The sequence below is a fragment of the Homo sapiens genome, chromosome 8, assembly GCF_000001405.40.
Source record: "Homo sapiens chromosome 8, GRCh38.p14 Primary Assembly".
NCBI classification, from domain to species: domain Eukaryota; kingdom Metazoa; phylum Chordata; class Mammalia; order Primates; family Hominidae; genus Homo; species Homo sapiens.
The window spans coordinates 66636373-66660031 of NC_000008.11; the positions used below are offsets into that span (position 1 = coordinate 66636373).

At 40.3% G+C, this 23659-nt stretch overlaps 1 protein-coding gene across 1 annotated transcript in view, besides 3 other annotated features; it reads right to left on the reverse strand.

Annotated features, from left to right (window-relative positions):
* Positions 1-23659, reverse strand: part of VCPIP1 (valosin containing protein interacting protein 1) — a 38745-nt gene that overhangs the window by 7886 nt on the left and 7200 nt on the right. The window contains exon 2 of the mRNA NM_025054.5: positions 15086-15172. Within this exon, the coding sequence (NP_079330.2) occupies positions 15086-15172 (87 nt within the window). The remainder of the gene's footprint in view (positions 1-15085; positions 15173-23659) is intronic.
* Positions 15680-15729: an enhancer, noted in NCBI's record as "active region_27486". NCBI's record gives its function as "activates an Ori minimal core promoter by ATAC-STARR-seq in GM12878 lymphoblastoid cells {active_cell/tissue: GM12878}" and the evidence as "EXISTENCE:reporter gene assay evidence [ECO:0000049][PMID:35858748]".
* Positions 15740-15879: an enhancer, noted in NCBI's record as "active region_27487". NCBI's record gives its function as "activates an Ori minimal core promoter by ATAC-STARR-seq in GM12878 lymphoblastoid cells {active_cell/tissue: GM12878}" and the evidence as "EXISTENCE:reporter gene assay evidence [ECO:0000049][PMID:35858748]".
* Positions 15990-16039: an enhancer, noted in NCBI's record as "active region_27488". NCBI's record gives its function as "activates an Ori minimal core promoter by ATAC-STARR-seq in GM12878 lymphoblastoid cells {active_cell/tissue: GM12878}" and the evidence as "EXISTENCE:reporter gene assay evidence [ECO:0000049][PMID:35858748]".

Consider the following 23659-nt stretch of genomic DNA (forward strand, 5'->3'; position numbering starts at 1 on the left):
AAAAAAATCTAAATTTTCAACAAGAAATAAGTAAATTATTTCCTATCTACCTGTTGGAAGTATATGCAGTTATTAAAATTTAGATAAATAGGCCCGGCACAGTGGCTCACACCTGTAATCCCAGCACTTTGGGAGGCCAAGGTGGGCAGATCATGAGGTCAGGAGTTTGAGACCAGCCTGGCCAACAGAGTGAAACCCCATCTCTACTAAAAATACAAAAATTAGCCAGGCATGGTGGTGCGCGCCTGTAGTCCCAGCTACTCAGGAGGCTGAGGCAGGGAGAATTGCTTGAACCCAGGAGGTGGAGGTTGTGCTGAGACAAGATTGCACCACTGCACTCCAGCCTGGGCAACAGAACAAGACTCCATCTAAAAAAAAAAAAATTCAGATAAATAATGCTTGAACCCAAGAGGCGGAGGCTGCAGTGAGCCCAGATCATGCCACTGCACTCCAGACTGGGCAACAGAGTGAGACTCCGTCTCAAAAAAAAAAAATTTAGATAGGAAGCTGTGATGCCTGATATATACAGTAAAATGTGCATGATGCTGCAACAGCAGGAAACAAATATAAGTACTATGATTACAATCTTGCCTAAAACATGTATGTATAAGACAAATATTTTTAAATGATAGGTGATGTTTCCCATTTCTATAGTTTCTGCACGTTTATATTGTTATTAAAAAACTCCAGCCAGGCGTGGTGGCTCAGCACATTGGGAGGCTGAGGCGGGAGGATCGCTTGGAGTTTGTTTCCAACAAACAAAGGCTAGGAGTTTGATACCAGCTGGGCAACATGGTAAGACCCTGGTCTCTACAAAAAAAACAAAAGGTTAGCTGAGGGTGATGGCATACACCTATAGTCTCAGCTTTTTGGGAGGCTGAGGCAGGAGGATCACTGAGCTCTGGAGTTTTAGGCTGCAGTGAGCTATTACTGAGCCACTGAACTCCAACATGGGTGATAGCAAGAAACTGTCTAAAAACAAAACAAAACAAAAAACAAACACCCCAATTTAAAATATATATTTAAAAATCAATGGATATGCCGGGCACAGTGGCTCACACCTGTAATCCCAGCACTTTGGGAGGCCTGGGCAACAGAGCAAGACTCCATCTCAAAAAAAAAAAAAAAAAGATATACTTTAAATACAACACAAATACTGTTGTGATACTTCTAAGCATAATTGTTTAGGGGTTTTTTTTGGCAGGTATAGACAGAATGTTCAGATTTTATATAGTCCTTCAAATTTTAATTCAAATTTTAAGAAGCAAGGCACATTAAAATTTCTCTATCACATATCAACAATTCCATTACTTAGGGCCGGGCACGGTGGCTCACACCTGTAATCCCAGCACTTTGGGAGGCTGAGGCGGGCGGATCACAAGGTCAGGAGATCGAGACCATCCTGGCTAGCACAGTGAAACCCCATCTCTACCAAAAATACAAAAAAAAATTAGCCAGGCGTGGTGGCAGGCACCTATAGTCCCAGCTACTCGGGAGGCTGAGGCAGGAGAATGGTGTGAACCCAGGAGGTGGAACTTGCAGTGAGCCAAGACCGTGCCATTGCACTCCAGCCAGGGCGACAGAGCGAGACTCCGTCTCAAAACGAAACAAAACAAAAATTCCATTACTTATATATGCTAATGACATGTATAGTATTTATAGTTACATTATTCTTTACATTAAAAACCCAGAAACTACCCAAAAGCTCATGAGCAGAACAATGAATTGTGTTAAAAACAATACAACAGAATACTATGCAGCAGTGAAAATGAATAACCTACAGTTGAACTCATCAATACAGATGTATCTGAAAAAGTGTTGCTAAACTAAACAAGTCAGCCAGGTTTGGGGCTCATGCCTGTAATCCCAGCACTAGGGGAGGCAGAGGCAAATTGACTACTTGAGCCTAAGAGTTCCAGCCTGGGCAACCTAAGGAGACCTCACCTCTACAAAAAATTTAAAAAATTAGCTGGGTGTAGTGGCATATGCCTGTAGTCCCAGCAACCTGGAAGACTGAGGCAGAAGGATCACTTGAGCCAGGGAGGTTGAGGCTGCAGGAAGTTGTGATCATACCACTGCGCTCCAGCCTGAGAGTAAAACCCCATCTCAAAAAAAAAAAAAAAAAGGCCAGGCGCGGTGGCTCACGCCTGTAATCCCAGCACTTTGGGAGGCCAAGGCGGGTGGATCACGAGGTCAGCAGATCAAGACCATCCTGGCTAACACGGTGAAACCTCATCTCTACTAAAAACACAAAAAATTAGCCAGGCGTGGTGGCGGGCGCCTGGAGTCCCAGCTACTCAGGAGGCTGAGGCAGGAGAATGGTGTGAACCCAGGAGGCAGAGTTTGCAGTGAGCCGAGATCACGCCACTGCACTCCAGCCTGGGCGACAGAGCGAGACTCCTGTCTCAAAAAAAGAAAGAAAGAAAGAAATCATAGAAGAAGGTATACAGCATAATTCCATTTTTATAAAGTTCAAACACAGGCAAAGTTGAGTATTATATAGTTAAAACTAAATTTGCCATTCATTTCTTCATTTCTCTGTACAAAAACCTGCAAGAAAACTTTCTCTCTCTCTCTCTCTCTCTCTCTCTCTCTCTCTATATATATATATATACATATATTTTGTGGGGGACAGGGTCTCACTCTGTCAACCAGGCTGGAGTACAGTGGTGTGTGATCATGGCTCACCATGGCCTCAGCCTCCTGGGCTCAAGTGATCCTCCCACGTCAGCCTCACCAGTAGCTGAGACTACGGGCACATGCCACCACACCTGGCCAATTTTTCTATTTTTAGTAGAGACAGGGTTTCATCATGTTGCCCAGGCTCGTCTCAAACCCCTGGGCTCAAGCCATCTGTCCGCCTTGGCCTCCCACAATGCTGGGAATACAGGCATGAGACACCACACCTGGCCGAAAACTTACTATATTTTAAGCCAATTAATTTTATTCTTTTTTTTTTTTTTTTTTTTTTTTTTGGTGTTGCTGGGGTTGGGGGAAATGGTGTCTGCTCTCAGCTCTGTTGCCTAGGCTGGAGTGCAGTGGTGCGATCTCGGCTCACTGCAGCCTCCTCCTCCCAGGTTCAAGCGATTCTCATGCCTCAGCCTCCTGGGTAGCTAGGATTACAGGGGCCTGCCACCATACACAACAAATTTTTGCATTTTTTGTAGAGACAGGGTTTCACCATGTTAAATGATCTGCCCACCTAGGGTGGGCAAAGTACTGGGATTATAGGCATGGACCACTGTACCTGGCCTGAGCCAATTAATTTTAGAATACCTTTCCAAAAATGAAGAACAGAAATAGTAATAGTATAGTTTAGTTATAATGGGCAATACTGTTTTTCAAATGTAGATGTAACCATCTATATGTTAAGGTGGATTTGAATAAAATAAGAGAGTTATGTATGCTCCTTTCCTGTTTTTGGAAGACGGAGGTAAATGGCTGGGGTTGAGAGGGGCTTGATACGTTTTGATTCTTTGACCACAGGATGATGATGATGATGATAATAATAAATGGGAGCTACATGATGAGAACATATGGACACAAAGAGGGGAACAACACACACTTGGGCCTTTCGGAGCATAGAGGGTGGGAGGAGGGAGGATCAGGTGGGTGCTAGGCTAAATATCTGGGTGATGAAATAATCTGTGCAACAAATCCCCATGACACAAGTTTACCTAGGTAACAAACCTGCACTTGTACCCCGAACTTAAAAATAATAGTAATAATTTGCCACATGAATCTGTTATAAAAATATAGAGAAAAATTTACCACAAATATCAGAAAAAAATTCTATTTTGGAAGGTACTTTTCTGAGGATGATCCATTTCAAATGGCTGTGTTATAGTCAGAATTTTAATTTTGTGAACAGCTAGAATTCTAATAACAACAACAAACATTTGCTAAGTATTTATTAGGTACCAGATCATTTGCTAACTGCTATACATCCACCATCTCCTTTGATCCTCACAATCACCCTGACATTATCATACCCACTTTACAAATAAACTGACACTTAGAAGTCAGAGTGTAATACATCCAGAATTTGATCTCAAATGTTCTGACTCTGATACAGAAAGGAGGCAGGTAAATACTAGGCAGAAAAGGGCAAGGTCCCTAGTGGAGGCCCACCCTCAAGCCTGGACCCGCGGCCCAAAGTGAGAACATGTATTCCTGTTTTTCCGCTCAAATGTTGCTTTTTGGCCTGCCCTGCCCCCCATCCTGTACCCATAAAAACCCCAGGCAGACCAGCAGACTGGCAGAGTGGCAGAGAACGAGAGAAGAGAAGAAACAGCTGGATGTCAGAGAAAAGTAGCTTGACTTCAAAGGGATGGCTTGACGGGGGGTACTTCAGGGAAGAGTTTGGCCGGGGACAGCTGAACTCCAGGGGAAGACCACCTTTCCAGTCCATCCCCTTTCCAGCTCCCCACCCCACTGAGAGCCACCTCCACCACTCAAAAAAATCCTCCACATTCACCACCCTTCAATTTGTTCGTGCAACCTGATTCTTCCTGGATGCCAGAGAAGAACTTGGGTACCAAGAGGGTGGGTGCAAAAGGCTGTCACCCTGACCCTTCAATGAGCTGTTAAGCACTTAAGCTATTTGTGGAGGGGAAAGATAAAAGGGCACACTGTTAACACATGCCCTCTGGGGCCCTGGGGGCCACAGGTACCCCCCTAGATGCTGCTGCAGGGCCGCACAGAGTTCTACTCCTGCTGGTGCCCAGAAGCACTCATCCCGGCCCCTGTATCTGCTGACCTGTGTGCTGCCTGTCCCATGAAGGGTTGAGAGCTGCGGGCTAAGTAAGCAAGCCAACCCCTTCACAAGCCCCTCGGGGGTCAAGGGAACTATCCCGTTTCAACTCCAGAGCTCTAAACTACCTCTTAATGATAAATACCACATGTAACATTCTAGGAAATATGACAACTCTATTGAGATATAGTTCACATACAATTCACCCATTTTAAATGTATAAACAAATGGTTTGGGACATATATATATAGTTTTTTTTTTTAGAGACAGAGTTTCCCTCTATCACCCAGGCTGCAGTGTGGTAGTGCAATCATAGCTCACTGCGATCTGGGTTCAACAGATCCTTCCACCTCAGCCTCCCAGTGCTGGGATTACAGGCATGAGCTACTGTGCATAGCCAGTTTTTAGCGTATTCACAAAGTTGTGGAACTTTTAGAACAGTTTCATCACCCCAAAAAGAAACCCTGAACCTTAGCAGTCATTCCCTCTACCTCATTCCCAGCCCTAGGGAAGCCACAGATTCACTCTCTGTTTCTCTAAGTGTTCCTATTCTGGATATTTCACTATATGCTCTTTTGTGACTGGCTTCTTTCACATGGCATAATGTTTTCAAGGTTCTTCCATGATGTAACAAGTACCAATACTTTACTACTTTTTATTGCCAAATAATATTTCACTGTATGGCTATAACACATTTTATTTATCCAATCATCAGTTGATGGACATTTTAGTAACTTCCATTTTAGGCTATGATGAATAATGCACCTATGAACATTTGTGTACAAATTTTGTGTGGACATATGTTTCCATTTATCTTGTGTATACACCTAAGAGTAGAACTGCTGGATCATATAGTAACTCTACATTTAACCTTTTGAGGAACTGCCAAAGTTCCCAAGTGGCTGCATCATTTTTACATTCCTACCAGCAATGTATGAGGGTTCCAATTTCTCTACATTCTCGCCTACAATTCTTATTATGTGACTTTTGGACCACAGCCAGGCTAGTGAGTATGAAGTATTATACCATCCCATTTTTCTTTTGATTTGCATTCCCCTGATGACTAATGATGTTTAGCATCTTTTCACGTGTGATTGGCCATTTATATATTTTCTCTGGAGAGAAATTTATTCATATCTTTTGCCCATTTTTAACTGTTATTTGTCTTTTTTGTTTAGTTGTAAGAGTTCTTTATATTCTAGATACAAATCCATTCTCAGATACATGTTTGCAAAAATTTTCTCCCATTCTGTGGTTGTGTATTTACTTTCTTGATAGTATAATTTGTAGCACAGAAGTTTGCTTTTTATTTTTTTCTCTTGTTATTTATGCTTTTATTTTTGTATCTAAGATTATGCCTAATCCAAGGTCAATACAGTTTATGCTTATGTTTTCTTCTAAGAGTTTTCTAGTTTTAGCAGGTAAACTTAGGTCTTTGATCTATTTTGAATTAATTTTGTATATGGTGTGAGGCAGAGGTCAAACCTGAGGTAGACATCAAACTTCAATATTTTGCATGCTAATATCTAATTGTCTGAGGACCACTTGTTGAAAAGACTATTCTTTCCCCGCTGAATTGTCTCAGCAACACAGTTAACATTTAAAAAATAATTTCAAACTAGAAACAAAACTATTTTGAAAATAGTAAAGATAGCCATCCCCATGCCACCCCCTTATCCTTCAACCCCCTCCCACACACAAAACACAACTGAAGGAAATTATTTGCAGTTGCATGGAAGATAGTGCATATTGATCCAGATTACTGGAATCCCCATAATCCATCCTAATTAAATACTAACTTCTAAAAACCACTAATTAGTATCAATATATTTCAGAAAGTAGAATTTAAAAAAAGAAGAAAATAAAACAAAGTAGAATGAAATGAAAGATAAAAAGTTTAAAAGGGATGTAAAAAGGCCAGGCATGGTGGCTCACACCTGTAATCTCAGCACTTTGGGAGCCCGAGGTGTGCAGATCACCTGAGGTCAGGAGTTCTAGACCAGCCTGGCCAACATGGCGAAACCCCATGTCTACTAAAAATACAAAAATTAGCCAGGCATGGTGGCACATGCCTTTAATCCCAGCTACTTGGGAGGCTGAGGCAGGAGAATCACGTCAACTCGGGAGGTGGAGGTTAAAGTAAGCTGAGATCACGGCACTGCACTCCAGCCTAGGCAATAGAGTGAGACTTCATCTCAGAAAGAAAAAAAAAAGATGTTAAAAAAAAGGGAAGGGAAGGGATGCTTAGAGAGAAATTTATAGCTTTAAATGCCTACATTAAAAAAAAATTTGTAGGCTGGGCATGGTGCCTCATGCCTGTAATCTCAGCACTTTGGAAGGCCAAGGTGGGTAGATCTCTTAAGGCCAGGAATTCAAGACTGGCCTGGCTAACATGGCGAAACCCTGTCTCTACTAAAAATACAAAAATTAGTTGGGCATAGTGACGCACACCTCTAATCCCAGCTACTCGGGGAGGCTGAGGCATGAGAATTGCTTGAATCCGGGAGGCGGAGGTTGCAGTAAGCCAAGATTGCACCACTGCACTCCAGCCCAGGCAAGAGATTGAGACTCTGTCTCAAAAAGTAAAATAAAGAAATAAGAAAAAAAAGAGCAAATTAAACCTAAAGCAAGCATAAGGAAGGAAAAAATAAACATAAAAGCAGAAATCAATGAAACTGAAATCAGAAAAATAACAAACAAAAAAAACCCTATGAATCCAAATGTTTCTTTGAAAAGATCAACAGCCAGAATGGACAGCCAAAAAAAAAAAAAAAAAAAGAGGCACAAGTTGCCAAGATCAGAAATGAAAGAACTACAGATTTCTACAGACATTAAAAGGACAATAGGGGAATACTAGAAACAACTTTATGCCAATACAGTTGATAACTTGGATGAAATGGGCAGATTTCTTAAAAGACAAAACTAACAAAGCTTACTCAAGAAGAAACAGATAATTTTAAAAGTACTCTATTAAAGAAATTAAATTTGTAGCTAAAAAACTGCCCAGCAAAGAAAACTCTAAGCAAAGATGGTTTCACTGGTGAATTCTACCAGTTAAAACTATTATAAAATCTACCAAAAAACAGAAGAAAAGAGGAGGCAATGCTTCTCAGTGCTATTTTATGAAGCCAACATTACCCTGATTAAACAGTCATTACAAGAAAACTAGATAATTATCCTTCCTGAACACAATCACAAAAACACTCAACAAAATATTAGCAAATTAAATCCAGCAAGTAAAGTTCGTTCAACATTCAAAAAAATCAATGTAATTCACGCTATCAACAAACCAAAAGAGAAAAACCATATGATCATCTTGATACATGTAGGAAAAGAGCATCTCACAAAATTCAACCTCCATTCATAATATAAACTCTCAACAAACCCAGGAATAGAAAGAAATGTCCTCAATCAATCCTCAATCTTACAAAAGGTATCTGTGAAAAACCTGCAAGCTGAATGCTTCCAAGATATGGAAAAAGGAAATAATGTCTACTCTCACCTTTCCGACTCAACACTGAACTAAAGGTCCTAGCCATTGCTAATAAAATTGTCTTTTATTTCCAAAACACATGATGATCTACATAGACAAGGATCTGCTAAAAGTTGCTAAAATATGTGAGTTTAGCAAGGTCACACATGGGGTACAAGGGCAATCAAGGGCAATGTAAAAAAAAAAAAAAAATTTTAGGCCAGGTGCAGTAGTTCACACCTGTAATCCTAGCACTTTGGGAGGCTGAGGCGGGCGGATTACTTTGAGCTCAGGAGTTTGAGACCAGCCTGGGCAATACAGTGAAACCCCGTCTCTACAAAAAATACAAAAATTAGCTGGGTGTGGTGGCCCACATCTGTGGTCCCAGCTACTTGGGAGGCTGAGGCTGGAGAATCGCTTGAGCCCAGTTGGTGGTGGGACACAGGTGGTGGGGGTTGCAGTGGGCTAAGATTGCGCCACTGCACTCCAGCCTGGGTGATGGAGTGAGACCCTGTATCCAAGAAAAAAAAAAAAAAAAAGAGGCCGGGCATGGTGGCTCATGCCTGTAATCCCAGCACTTTGGGAGACTGAGGCAGGCAGATCACGAGTCAGGAGTTCGAGACCAGCTTGGCCGACATAGTGAAACCCCGTCTCTACTAAAAATAAAAAAATTAGCTGGGCATTGTTGCGTGCACCTGTAGTCTCAGCTACTCGGGAAGCTGAGACAGGAGAATCGCTTGAACTCAGGAGGCAGAGGTTGTGGTGAGCTGAGATTGCACCACTGCACTGGCGCAATGGGCAACAGAGCAAGACTCCATCTCAAAAAATAAAACAAAAGAAAAAGAAAGCCAATTTTATTTCTATGTACTAGAAATGAACAATAAGAAAATTGAAATTTGTAGAAGCATCTTTTACAGTATCATCCAAAAAACAAATATTTCACAGTATAAATCTAACAAACTATGTGTCAGACCTATCTGCTGTAAACTACAAAATTTTGATGAGAGATATTAAAGACTTAATGAAGAAATATAACATTTTTGGTCAGGCACAGTGGCTCACGCCTGTATCTCAGAACTTTGGGAGACTGAGGCAGGAGATGGCTTGAGCCCAGGAGTTCAAGACTAGCCTGGGCAGCAATATGGCAAAACCCTGTCTCTACAAAAAAAAAAAAAAAAAAAAAATTAGCAGGGCGTGGTGGTGCGCACCTGTAGTCCCTGCTACTCAGAAGGCCAAGGTGGGAGATCAACTGAGCCAGGTAGGTCAACGATGCAGTAAACTGTGATTGTGTCACTGCACTCCAACCCGGGTAACAAAGTGGGACCCTGTCTCAATAAAACCAAAAACAAGAAATATAACATCTTCATGATTCAAAAGACTCGTTGTCAAGATATCAACTGTCCCCAATTTGATCTATACAGATGCTCCTCAACTTACAACGGGTTACAGCCAGATAAACTCAAAGTCAAAATGCATTTTTTTTTTTTTTTTTGAGACAGAGTCTTGCTCTGTCACCCAGGCCGGAGTGCCAGCAGTGTGATCTCGGCTCAATGCAACCTCCACCTCCTGGGTTCAAGGGCTTCTCCTGCCTCAGCCTCCCAAATAGCTGGGATTATGGGCGCATGCCACCACACCTGACTAATTTTTATATTTTTAGTAGAGACGGGGTTTCACAGTGTTGGCCAGGCTGGTCTCAAACTCTTGACCTCAAGTGATCCGCTTGCCTCGGCCTCCCAAAGTGCTGGGATAACAGGCCACTGTGCCTGGCCCAAAATGCATTTAATACCCTGATAAACCCATCATAAAGTCAAAAAGTCCTAAATCAGGCACAGCCTGTATATTCAATGCAATCACAATAAAAATCCTGGCAGACTCTTTTTGAAGAAATCAAGCTGATTCTAAAATTTATATGGATAGGCCAGGCGCGGTGGTTCACGCCTGTAATCCCAATACTTTGGGAGGCTGAGGAAGGCAGATCACTTGAGGTCAGGAGTTTGAGATCAGCCTGACCAACATAGTGAAACCTTGTCTCTACGAAAATTACAAAAATTAGCCAGGTGTGGTGGTGTACGCCTGTAATCCCAGCTACTCAGGAAGCTGAGGCAGGAAAGAATTGCTTGAACCCAGGAGATGGAGGTTGCAGTGACCCAAGATCGTGCACTCCATCCAACCTGGGTGACGGAGTGAGACTCCATCTCAAAAAAATAAATAAATACAGAAGTTCGAGACCAGCCTGGGCAACATGGTGAAACCCCGTCTCTACTAAAAACACAAAAAATTAGCCGGGTGTGGTGGTGTGCACCTGTAATCCCAGCTACTCAGGAAGCTGAGACAGGAGAATCACTTGAACCCAGGAGGCAGAGGTTGCAGTGAGCCAATATCTCACCACTGCACTCCAGCCTAGGCAACAGAGCAAGACTCTGTCTCAAAAATAAATAAATAAGTAAATTAAATAAATAAATAGGCCAGGCATGGTGGCTCACGCCTGTAATTCCAGCACTTTGGGAGGCCAAGGCGGATGGACCACAAGGTCAGGAGTTCAAGACCAGCCTAGCCAAGATGGTGAAACCCTGTCTCTACTAAAACTACAAAAATTAGCCAGGCGCGGTGGCAGGCGCCTGTAATCCCAGCTACTTGGGAGACTGAGGCAGGAGAATGGCTTGAATCTGGGAGGCAGAGGTTGCAGTGACCCAAGACTGCGACACTGCACTCCAGCCTGGGCAACAGAGTAAGACTCCATCTCAAAAACATAAGTAAGTAAATAAGTAAGTAAATAAATAAATAAATAAAAATAATAAAATTTATATGGATAAACAAAGGACTCAGAACACCCAAAACAATTCTGAAAAAGAAAAAAAGATGGAGGACTCACACTGATTTCAAGAATAACTATAAGATACAATAATCAGGATTATTACTGTACTGGAGAAAGGAGAGACATATAGATCAACAAAACAGAAAAGAGATTCTACAAATACTAATAGAACCACACATATAGTCAGTTGATTTAAGAAAAAGTAACTTCACTGAGGTATATTTTGCATATCACATAATTCATCCTTTTCAGGTGTATGACTCATGGTCAACTGATTTTTGACAAATATACCAAAATAATTCAATGGATAACATAAAGCCTTTTCAACAAATGGTGCTGGAACAACTGGTCATCCATACATTAAAAAATGAACCTTAACTCATACCCTGCAACATATTAAAAAATCAACTTGAAATGGATCATAAACCTAAATATAAAACCTAAAACTATAAACTCCTAGAAAAAAACACAATTGATTCTCCCACCTCAGCCTCCTGAGTAGCTGGGACCACAGGCACAAGCCCAACTATTTTTTATATATTTTTTATATTTTATATTTTTTATATTTTTAGTAGGGATGGGGTTTCATCATGTTGCCCAGTCTGGTCTTGAACTCCTGAGCAATCCGCTCACCTTGGCCTCCCAAAGTGCTGGGATTACAGGTGTGAGCCACAGTACCTGGCCAGTTACAGGTCTTTTAAAATGTGACACATCTATATCATGGAATACTACTCAGCAATAAAAAGGAATAAACTCTAGTTATTCAAAGTGTTTTTAAAAAACGAAGGAATAAACTAACACATGCAACAAGACAGATCTCAAAAGCATATTAAAACAAATAGGCACATTTTTTCTGTATAGGGCAACATTTGTGCACCATATGGTTTCTTTCACAAGTATTCAACTCTGCCACTGTAATGTGAAAGCAGCCATAGACAACATGTAATCATGAGTGTGGCTGTGCTCCAATAAAACTGTCTGTCTGTCTATCTATCTAATCTAATCTATCTAATTGATCATTTATCTAATCTATCTAATCTATCATCCATCCGTCCATCTACCTAATCTGTCATCTATCTGATCTAATCTATCCAATGTATCATCTATGTATCTAATCTATCTATCTATCTATCTATCTATCTATCTATCTATCTATCTATCTATCTGAGTCTCACTCTGTCACCCAGGCTGGAGTGCAGTGGCATGATCTTGGCTCACTACTACCTCCACCTCCTGGGTTCAAGCAATTCTCGGGTCTCAGCCTCCCAAGTAGCTGGGACTACAGTCGTGCACCACCACACCCGGCTAATTTTTTTGTATTTTTTGAAGAGATGAGGTTTTACCATGTTGGCCAGGCTGGTCTCACACTCCTAGCCTCAAGTGATCTGCCCAACTCGGCCTCCCAAAGTGCTGGAATTACAGGTGTGAGCCACTGTGCTCAGCCCCAGTAAAACTTTTAAGTATTCAGCCAGGCACAGTGGCTCACACGTGTAATCGCACACTTTGGGAGGCCGATGCAGGAAGATCACCTGAGCTCAGGAATTCAAGACAAGCCTAGGCAACATAGTGAGACCTTGTCTCTACAAAAAATGTAAAAAAAATTAGTCGGGCATGGTGGCTTATGCCTGTAGTCCCAGCTACTCAGTAGGGTGAAGGATGAGGATCACTTGAGCCCAGAGGATTGACGCTAGAGGCTGCAGTGAGTCACGATCATACCAGTGCACTCCAGCCTGGGCAACAGAGCAAGACTCTGTCTCAAAACTAGTAATAATAATAATAATAAATTATATAAACAGGCAGCAGGCTGGGTGCAGTAGCTCATGCTTGTAATCTGTCGCTTGTAATCCTAGCACTTTGGGAGGTCAAGGCGAGAGGATTGCTCGAGCTCAAGAGTTCAAGACCAGCCTGGGCAACATGGCGAAACCCCATCTCAACTAAAAATACAAAAAATTAGCTGGGCATGGTGGCACATGGCTGTGGTCCCAGCTACTTGGGAGGCTGAGCTGGGAGGATCACCTAAGCCCAGGTCAAGGCTGCAGTGAGCTATAACTGCACCACAGCACTCCAGCCCAGGAGATAGAGTGAGACCCTGTCTCTAAAACAAAAAAACAGGCAGCAGACTTGAGATGGCCCCACAGGCCACAGTTTGCCAATTCCTGTGCTAAATTAAAGATGCCGGACACAAAAGGTCACACTATAGGATTCCATTCACATGGTAATATGAAAAAGGCAAACATATAGGAGCAGAATCAAATCAATGGTTGTCAGGGCCTGGGATTGAGGAGAGTTGAATACAAAGAGGCACAAGAAAACTTTTTGGAGTGATGAAAGTATTCTATATTTTTATTACGGTGGTGGTGTTGGTTACATGACTATATATGTTTGTCAAAATTCATATACAGTATACAAAATTCGTATACTTGTAAGTCTGAAAAGAGTGAATTTTACTGTTTATAAATTATGCCTCAATAATCCTGTCTTAAAAGAAAAAAAACAAGGCTTTTTTTGGTCTCTGATTAAAGAAAAACCAAGAGAAGAAAACATTTTTTAGAAAATTATCAACGTTAATTATCAAGAAAATTCAAACACTGACTGGATATTTGGTGACATAAAAAATACTGTTCTTTTTTTAGGTTGTAATAATGACTTTTTTTTTTAAAGAGTCCTTATCTTTAGAAATACATATTGAAATTCAAAGGAGAAAATGAGAAGGAAAAAAAGGAAATATGTACCAATGTACTTACAGGTGAAATTATAGTATATCTGAGATTTACTTTAAAATAGTCCAATTAAAAAGGGGACAGAGATGTACTAATCATTATTGAGGCTGGGTAGTAGGTAAATGGGGATTCATTACATTACTCTTGCTACTTTTGTATATGTTTGAATATTTCTACAACAACCAAGTTGGAAGGAAAAAAAAGTGTATGAGGAAGAGATGAAAACAACAAGATTATGCAATTAATGCCTACAGTGGCCAGGTAGGTGAAATAGATAAGCCAGAACGGTAAATCTGGGGCCGAAAGCATTAACATAAAATCTTTGAAAAAAATGTGTGAAGTCCAAACACATGGCCTGGCAACCTCTCTCCTAAGACCACTCTGAAGATACAGACATACACTTGTACACAAGTCTATCTTTACAAACAATGTATGCACAATGTGAAAGAAGCTAAATGTATAATGAGCTGTATCCTAGAACTTAGAAAGCAATAAGATATACGCTAAATATGGCCAAACATAACAACAACAACACAAACATTATCTGGTTCTGGAATACTAGCATTATAAACAAATCTGCTTCTGATTTCACAATTTGTCTTTAGTTGTTAGGAATCATACACATGGCCGGGCGTGGTGAATTGCTTGAACCCAGAGGCGGAGGTTGCAGTGAGCCAAGATAGCGCCATCACACTCCAGTCTGGGGGACAAGAGCAAGACTTCGTCTCAAAAAAAAAAAAAAAAAAAAAAAAAAAAAGAATCATACACATGGCCGGGCACAGTGGCTCATGCCTGCAATCCCAACACTTTGGGAGGCCAAGGCGGGCAGATCACCTGAGGTCGGGAGTTCAAGACCAGCCTAATCAACATGGAGAAACCCCCATCTCTACTAAAAATACAAAATTAGCCGGGCATGGTAGCACATGCCTATAATCCTAGCTACTCGAGAAGCTGAGGCAGGAGAATCGCTTGAACCCAGGAGGCAGAGGTTGCAGTGAGCCGAGATCGCGCCATTGCACTCCAGCCTGGGCAACAAGAACGAAATTCCATCTCAAAAAAAAAAAAAAAAAAAGAATCATACACCCATACACATAATTTAAGTGAGAAAAGAATAGCAACAAAGTGATAGATTTTTAGTAATACTAGCAGAAAACATAGCTGACCATATCAGGGTAATAATTCATTTTAATTAGGCAAACTGCTAAAAGAATATAAACCTAAAATTAACTTTGAAAATATTTTAGTAGAAAACTATATGAACTTTCTTAATCTTAAAACAGCTTCAGTAGAGCTATTATTTAAGAATAAAATCAAATTAACTATACCCATGGTTTTCTTCATAATACTGTAGAATACACCACCCTGCTGAAACATGTGAGGAAGTCCCTTTGCATAAGACCATACATCTTCTCCTGTAAGACAAAAACAGATATAGTATTAGCAACAAACAAAAGAGTTCCATCCAGGGCTGCTTTAGTAAGGATTAGCCTAGAATAAACATCAAGGCAGAGCTCCTAAATGAGTGAAACAGCCTGACACGCCATAGAGGGATGATACTGAGTGACAGATTGTGGCATACTAGAAAATGCATGGCCTATCTAAATGTGCCAGCCACTGCCAAGTGCTGTCATGGAAGAGTGCACGCCTAGTGTCTCAAGACCATGTGGCTTTTCAAGAGAAGCCCAAAATTCAAGTTTTTAATATGAATTCTCCCAATTTTAAAATGTGGGAACTAATTAAAAAGCATCTTTAGAACTGCATGAGTCAACAAACATGGTGGCTCATGCCTGTAACCCCAGTACTTTGGGGGTCTGTGGATAGCCTGAGTTCAGGAGTTCCGATACCAGCTTTGGCAACATGGCGAAACTCTATCTCTACAAAAAAAAAAAAAAAAAATAGCTGGACGTGGTGGCATGTGCCTGTCATCCCAGCTACTTAAGAGGGCTGAAGCAGTGGAGTGGCTGGGGGGAACCCCTTGTGCACGGGAGGTGAAGGCTGCAGGGAGCAGTGTTTGCATCACTGCACTCTACCCTGCGTGACAAAGTGAGATCCTGTTTCAAAAAAAGAAAAAACCACAAGTCAAGATAGTCAATATTATGATGAACAAAATATATCTGAAGACTCAATCCAGCTCAAAGGAAACTAGTCTGTAAACTCTGTACTAGAACAGATAAGATTATTGAAAGATATTTTTGGGCCAGGCATGGTGGCTCACTCACACCTGTAATCCCAGCACTTTGGGAGGCCCAGGCAGGCAGATCACCTGAGGTCAGGAGTTCGAGACCAGCCTGGCCAACATGGTGAAACCCTGTCTCTATTAAAAATACAAAAATTAGCTGAACGTGGTGGCGTGCACCTGTAGTTCCAGCTACTTGGAAGCTGAGGCAGGAGAATAGCTTGAACCCAGAAAGTGGAGGTTGCAGTGAGCTGAGATCGTGCCATTGCACTCTAGCCTGTGCTACAAGAGCAAAACTCTATCTCAAAAAAAAAAAAAGATATTTTTGAAAGTAAAATACAAAATTGTAAATATAAATTTTATATTTATATTAAAACCAAGAAATAAACAGAAGGGGCTATTTCAGTACTTATTTCAGTAAGAAATTTCAAATAAAAAGTAAAGAATGATCATCACTGTTGAAGAAATCAATAAAGAATGGCAGGAACATAACAGTTACTATGGCTGTTTTTATTTGCTTTATAGTTTACATTCTAATCTGCTAATGTATACATACTACTTTTATAATCAGGAAGTTTTTAATTTTTAACACAAAAAATTAACTTTTGTCTTCCCTACATGAAGATTATATTGTTGGACCTGAGCTCTGAATAGTTGTGACTGACACTGCTAATTAATCACTATGTACTTACAACATCTCAGAGTTCTAATCCCACCTCACATTCATAAACAGGGTATGACTTTATGTGGCAGTTGGCTAAACTTACCTTCACTATACCAGCTTAAAGTAGACAAGTTTTAGAAGACTTGACAATTAAAGTTTCAGTTAATCAAAACATTTACTTATAAACATTTACTAATGATGCAGTACTACTAGAATAGCTATATTTAAGGATGGACACACAGAAGTTTAATATTAATAAGAGTCCACAAATAAAGAAATATTAATAACCACTAGTGGTGGCTCTGATTGCTGAGCTTACTATTAAACCTCACTTGGATAAATTATTTCTATGATGATAACCTTTCATTTCGTTATTGTCAATGTTGTCCTAAATGCACTTAATATTTTCTAAAATATTCTAGTATAGCATTTATTTGGAAGACATATCAAAAAAAGATAGGGTGGTATTTAATTTTTTTGATAAGAATCCAAACAGGGCTGGTCTAAAGGTAGTGAGTTATCTCAACTGACTGTTCAGTTACAGTTGGAACTGCTTATTCTACCATTTCTCCCCTTCTCACTACCTGCACTTGACTAGTCCAAACAAACAAAAACCACAAGAATGAATAGGTGCCAAAATGGTGAACTCCTCAGAACTGACCAACTGATTAATAAGAAAAATCACATCTCTTAGGTACTTTACATACCTAGTTATTCCTAATTTAAACAGGCAAATCACTTACTCTACTGCAGTGTTTGTCAACCTTGTTTTCATTATCTCCCCCTAAGGAGCCTTTACAGGCATTATTTTCCTAGTCCTCCCCATGTCCTCATGATATTTGAATTACACAGATATACCTTATATCTGCTTATGTACTGTATATACATCTTAGTTTTATATATTAATCATAAGATTTTTTCACCCTTCCTCCTCCAAGAACAAATTTTTACCCCCTTCAAAGCAATATGGCCCCACTGTTCCATTGCTTTAAGGGAAATACCATGTAAGCCTCTATTATCTACCAAGCTCTGAGCAGGCTCTTCACATAGTTTCATTAACTCATCACAACTAAGCTCTACAGACAAGGAAACAAGCTCAGAGAGCTTAAATAACTCTTCCAAGATCACACAGCTAGTAAGTGGGAGAGCCAGGATTTGAATCCTGTGTATCAGTCCAAAGCTTATACCCTCCTTTCCATTGACATTAAACCTCTACTGAAGGTCAAATTGGCCAGGCTCACGCCTGTAATCCCAACACTTTGGGAGGCCGAGGCAGGCAGATTACCTGACGTCAGGAGTTCAAGACCAGCCTGGCCAACAAGGTGAAACTCCGTCTCTACTAAAAATACAAAAATTAGCCAGGCGTGGTGGCACATGCCTGTTATCCTAGCTACTCTGGAGGCTGAGGCAGGAGAATTGCTTGAGCCCAGGAAACAGAGGTTGCAGTGAGCCGAGGTCGTGCCACAGCACTCCAGCCTGGCTGACAGAGCAAGGCGCACACACAAAAAAAGGTCAAGTTGTGTTTCGGCAAATTTGAAAGAACTATCCAGGCTTTTCTTAATAGAAATTCATGGCATCAACAACTGGTTGGAGAAAAAAATAGGTAATCTCTTTTGCTAAACAAATATCTCCACTGAAGGTCATGTTTGTTGGTACCAAAATGAGGAAAAGGATTAGAGATCAGGAAGCAGGGTTTTGACACTTTGCACAAGTCCTGCACCACTCTCCTATGGCTCTCCACTGCATTTCTCTCCAACCCTCCTAACGCCCAGGTTCAATGCCTGGATTACTGCCACTTCCTCACAGCTGGTTTCCCTTGAGTCTTATCCCCCATAAATCCCTCCTCTATACAGCATTCAGAGTTAAACCTATAATGGTTCCCCAATGCCGTATGGCAAAGTCCAAGTTCCTTTTCCATGGCATACAAGGCACTCTAAGAGTTGGACCTTGCCTTTCCCATCTGACATCATACCATACCCTTATTTTTACAATGTTATACCACCACACAACTGTTCCTGTTCCCTAAAGGCCAATAATTGTTACGTATCATTTAAAACTCAATCTAGGTATCACTTCCTTTAGGATTCTTTGGAGTGTTGGTTAGGTAGGTACCCTTGTTTGATGCTCCTACATATATGAATACCACAGCCCTTATCACACTTCAGGTTAATTAACTTTTCTGTTTTACCTTCTAGACTAGGTTTCCCTTTTATACTTTTCAGATTCAGGGAAAGGTCAGTGGCCTATCTGACTTTTTACCCCCAGGGCCTCGCACAGTGCTGAACAGATGGCAACACTCATAGTATTGGTTGAATGAATGTATAGATGCAAGCTTTTCTAACCAGCCTTATTTTGTTGTTTTCCTGTTTTGTTTTGTTTTAGGCTTTTAGCAGCCTGAAGCTACGGTTTTAATTTCTGTCTCTAGTGATAAGCAGAAAAGCGTGATGAGGAAAGGGCTCTACTGGCCCAACCAGAAACAAAAGCTAAGAACCCATAACTGTATTATCTACCTTAGACACCCTTGGCGGAGTGAATATTATAAACGAGGTTTTTCCTTTTAAACAGTGCCTTAAAGCAATCCAGAATAAACTTAATCGAAGCAGCATGATGATAACCATTCTTCAATGTTACATATATAAAATACAACTAATGATTATATGCTACTGACTTTTCCCTGAATCTTGTTTTCTCTTCAAGAATCTAATAAAACAAAATAATAGCAAAAAAAAAGGGAAATAGTTTTTCTACCATTTTATTCGAAAGCAAACTTTTAGAGAATAGGAACAGTTTGGAAAAGCCTCTAACAATTATGTTAATTTATATTTTTGTTAGTCTCCAATTATTTTTACTTTATAATTCAACTGTTTCTTCATACTACAAAAGTAAAAATACTTCTATCCAATGTACTGTGTATATATAAATGTAGAAAAAAAATCTATACTACTGCCTTGCTTCCACAAATCCTTCCCCCCTCATAACCTTCAATCTTCTACCTGAAACAGTAGCTATATATGGCAGTGGTACTATGAACGCTTTTTCTTTTGGTTTATCCAATTTTTTTCCTATTTGATGTGAATAACTTTTAATTGTTTAAAATATGTTAAAATACATTTTTTAAAATGTATTTTTTCTAATTTTTTTCTAATAAAATTATGGAATTAAAAGTTTAAAGTCAACATCAAAAAAAGTTTAAGAGGTCACCATTCTAATTTTTAAATTTTAGGTATTTATTTATTTTTTGAGATAGGGTCTCGCTCTGTCACCCAGGCTGGAAAGTAGTGGCTCAATCATGGTTCACCGCAGCCTTGATCTCCTGAACTCAAGCAACCCTCTCACCTCAGCTTCCTGAGTAGCTAGGACTACAGGCGTGTGCCACCACAGCCGCTAAGTTTATTTATTTTTTGGAGACAGGGTCTCCCTGTGTTGCCCAAGCTGGTCTTGAATGCCTGGTCTCAGGCCATCCTCCTGCCTTGGCCTCCCAAAGTGCTGGGATTATAGGTGTGAGCTACTGTGCCTAGCCTTCTAACTTTAAATATTTAAAAAGGCAATTTGAATTTTTTACTTTGCAATTTATGAGGCAAAGCAGTAAATTTAAAAATCTAATACCTATATGAAATGTATTTTTATTTATTTATTCATTTATTTATTTATTTTTGAGACAGAGTCTTGCTCTGTCGCCCAGGCTGGAGTGCAGTGGCATGATCTTGGCTCACTGCAGCCTCTATCTTCCAGGTTCCAGCAATTCTCCTGCCTCAGCCTCCTGGGTAGCTGGGACTACAGGCACAAACCACCATGCCCAACTAACTTTTGTATTTTTAGTAGATACAGGGTTTCACCATGTTGGCCAGGCTGGTCTTGAACTCCTGACCTCAGGCGATCCGCCCCCTCGGCCTACCAAAGTAGGCCTGGGATTACAGGCTTGAGCCACTGCACCCAGCCTATTTAATTTTTGAGACAGAATCTTGCTCTGTCCCCCAGCCTGAAGTGCAGTGGCGCAATCTCTGTTCACTGAAACCTCCACTTCCCGGGTTCAAGCAATTCTCGTGCCTCAGCCTCCCGAGTAGCTGGGATTACAGGTGTGCGCCACCACTCCCGGCTAATTTTGTATTTCTAGTAGAGATAGGGTTTCTCCATGTTGGCCAGGCTAGTCTCAAACTCCTGATCTCAGACAATTTGTCCATCTCGGCCTCCCAAAGTACTGGGATTACAAGTGTAAGCCACCATGCCCAGCCAAAATGTATTTTTAAAGCCCCAAAAGAAACACCCAAAACGAACTCTGAACTCAACTATTTATGACCATAAAATGAAGTACTTGTTTATTTAAATTTAAAATTTAAAGAAACAATTCAAAATTTTTTAATAATTTGAATAAATGGTTCCAAATATAAAGTAGGAACACAGGACTGTTTCAACTAGACAGAATTCCAAAGGTAAAGGTATTCATTTGCTGAAAGAATTGTTGGCATCTCTCTACCCTTCCTGACGTAATCCTCACGTTTAAAAGTTTATCTACCCTATTGATAGTCAAAATGGTTTATAAAAAAGGCATATCTGTTTCTTGCCTGAAATTCAGTCCCCTTAACGGTATATAGTCACACAACTTTAGTGTCACCAGCAGCATTAATGAATATTTTTATCATACACAGACATGCACACAAACTCAACAGTGTTTAAATGTGTACAGAGTCTGAAAGGACACATCCCAATTTATTAATAATGATTTTATCTGGGGAGTACAAATGTTAAGAACTACCATATTTTATAGGTACTTGAATTATTTGAATTTTAAACATTATATTGTAATTGAAAAAATATTTAAAATAAAAGTGATCAAAGTAGTTGGAACAGAATCTATTATTATCTAGATTTCCTTTTCTATCTAGAAAGGAATAACATCAATATTTGACTTAATTTTCAAAGTATAATTATATAAAATCACCATTTACAATATATACATTTATCTTAAGATACACCTATGCATTATTTTTTATTCAACTTTATAACTGCTCTCCCATTACAAGTATGCTACATATAAATCAACAGAAGGGCTATCAGAAGGCATAGAAAGAATAATAATATGCAGCCAGACACGGTGGCTCACGCCTGTAATCCCAGCACTTTGGGAGGCCCAGGTGGGCGGATCACGAGGTCAGGAGTTCGAGACCAGCCCAGCCAACATGGTGAAACCCCGTCTCTACTAAAAATACAAAAATTAGCCAGGTGTTGTGGCAGGCGCCTGTAATTCCAGCTACTCGGGAGGCTGAGGCAGGAGAATCGCTTGAAACTGGGAGGCAGAGGTTGCAGTGAGCCGAGATTGCACCACTGCACTCCAGCCTGAGCGACAGAGCAAGGCTCCATCTTGGGGAAAAAAAAAAAAAAAAAGAAGAATATGCATAAGTACTATCTAGATTTGAAACTGCCCTTTACCCAACATTTGAAAAAAAAAAAGGTGCAATAATAATATTCAGTTGTCACCTAAAAAATAAGTGTCTCAGTCCCAAGCGTGATTCTGGAAAATTCTTTTTTTCTTTTTTTGAGACAGAGTCTCACTCTGTCACCAGGCTGGAGTGCAATGGCATGATCTTGGCTCACTACAACCTCCGCCTCCTGGGTTCAAGTGATTCTCCTGCCTCAACCTCCTGAGTAGCTGGGATTACAGGCGAGCGCCATCATGCCCGGCTAATTTTTGTATTTTTAGTAGAGACGGGGTTTCACCATCTTGGCCAGCCTGGTCTCAAACTCCTGACCTCATGATCCACCCGCCTCAGCCTCCCAAAATGCTGGATTAAATGCGTGAGCCACCGCACCCAGCCGATTCTGGAAAATTCTAAGGCATTTACGACATCAAGAGGTATTATGAAATTACAAAATATTGTGTATTTTAAATATATATATACGTTAAAAAGCCACACAATTCTTTCAGGAACAGAGAAAGTATATCAAAATGAAACAAGTTTCTCAACTCCTGAAAGGTTGGTACACTTTGTAGTAAAGCAAGGAAGTGTCATGTAGCCTAATTTCATTTAAGTAACTCCAAACTGACAAATTCTGTTCTTCACCTAAATCTGTCCTTACCTCTAGGAAAACAAAAAAACAAACAAAACTAGAAACTTAATGAAATATAACACTAAGAAAAAATAAATTAGCCCAAATATTTATGGTGGATAATGTACCACCTATCCTGTCTACCATGAAAGAAAACCTACAAATAACTGATCTACAAGAAATTTTTTTTTTTTTTTTGGAAAGAGTGTTGCTCTGTTGCCCAGACTGGAGTGCAGTGGCGCAATCTTGGCTCACTGCAACCGCACCAGGTCTACAAGAAATCTGAATGACATATTTTGCAAAGCCAGAGTTAGTCTTTTAAGTATTATATAAATAATGAAGATGACTGTCTGCAAAAAATTAAGTTCAATTACTTTGTGGTCTGGATAAAAGAGATTAAAAATGTAAAATATTATGGGTAAAATATTGTTATTCCATTTTATAGTTCCTAAGATTCAAAGTTACTAGGTTCCATGAATGACTTGTACTAAGCCAAAGACTAATACACCTACTTATTGTTTTATTAATATAAGTAATAGACGATCTAATCAATGAATATCCTACTTAAAAATGAAAGAAAAAGCTCATGTCCCTGGCTATCATGCAGTCAGCCCATTTAGTGAAAACATACAGGCCGGGTGCAGTGGCTCACGCCTGTAATCCTAGCACTTTGGGAAGCCGAGGCGGTGGATTGTCTGAGCTCAGGAGTTCGAGACCAGCATGGGCAACGTGGCGAAACCCCATCTCTACTAAAAATACAAAAAATTAGCTGGGCGTGGTGGTGCGCACCTGTAGTCCCAGCTACTTGAGAGGTTGAGAATCACTTGGACCCAGGAAGCAGAGGTTGCAGTGAGCTGGGATCACACCACTGCACTCCAGGCTGGGCGACAATCTGTCTCCAGAAAAAAAAAAGAAAGAAAATATACAATCCCCATGTATATATTTGATTCTTAATCAAATGAGAAGTTCTAAAATGCTGTGTTGGTCCTATTTGGGGATTTTATAATTTTTATG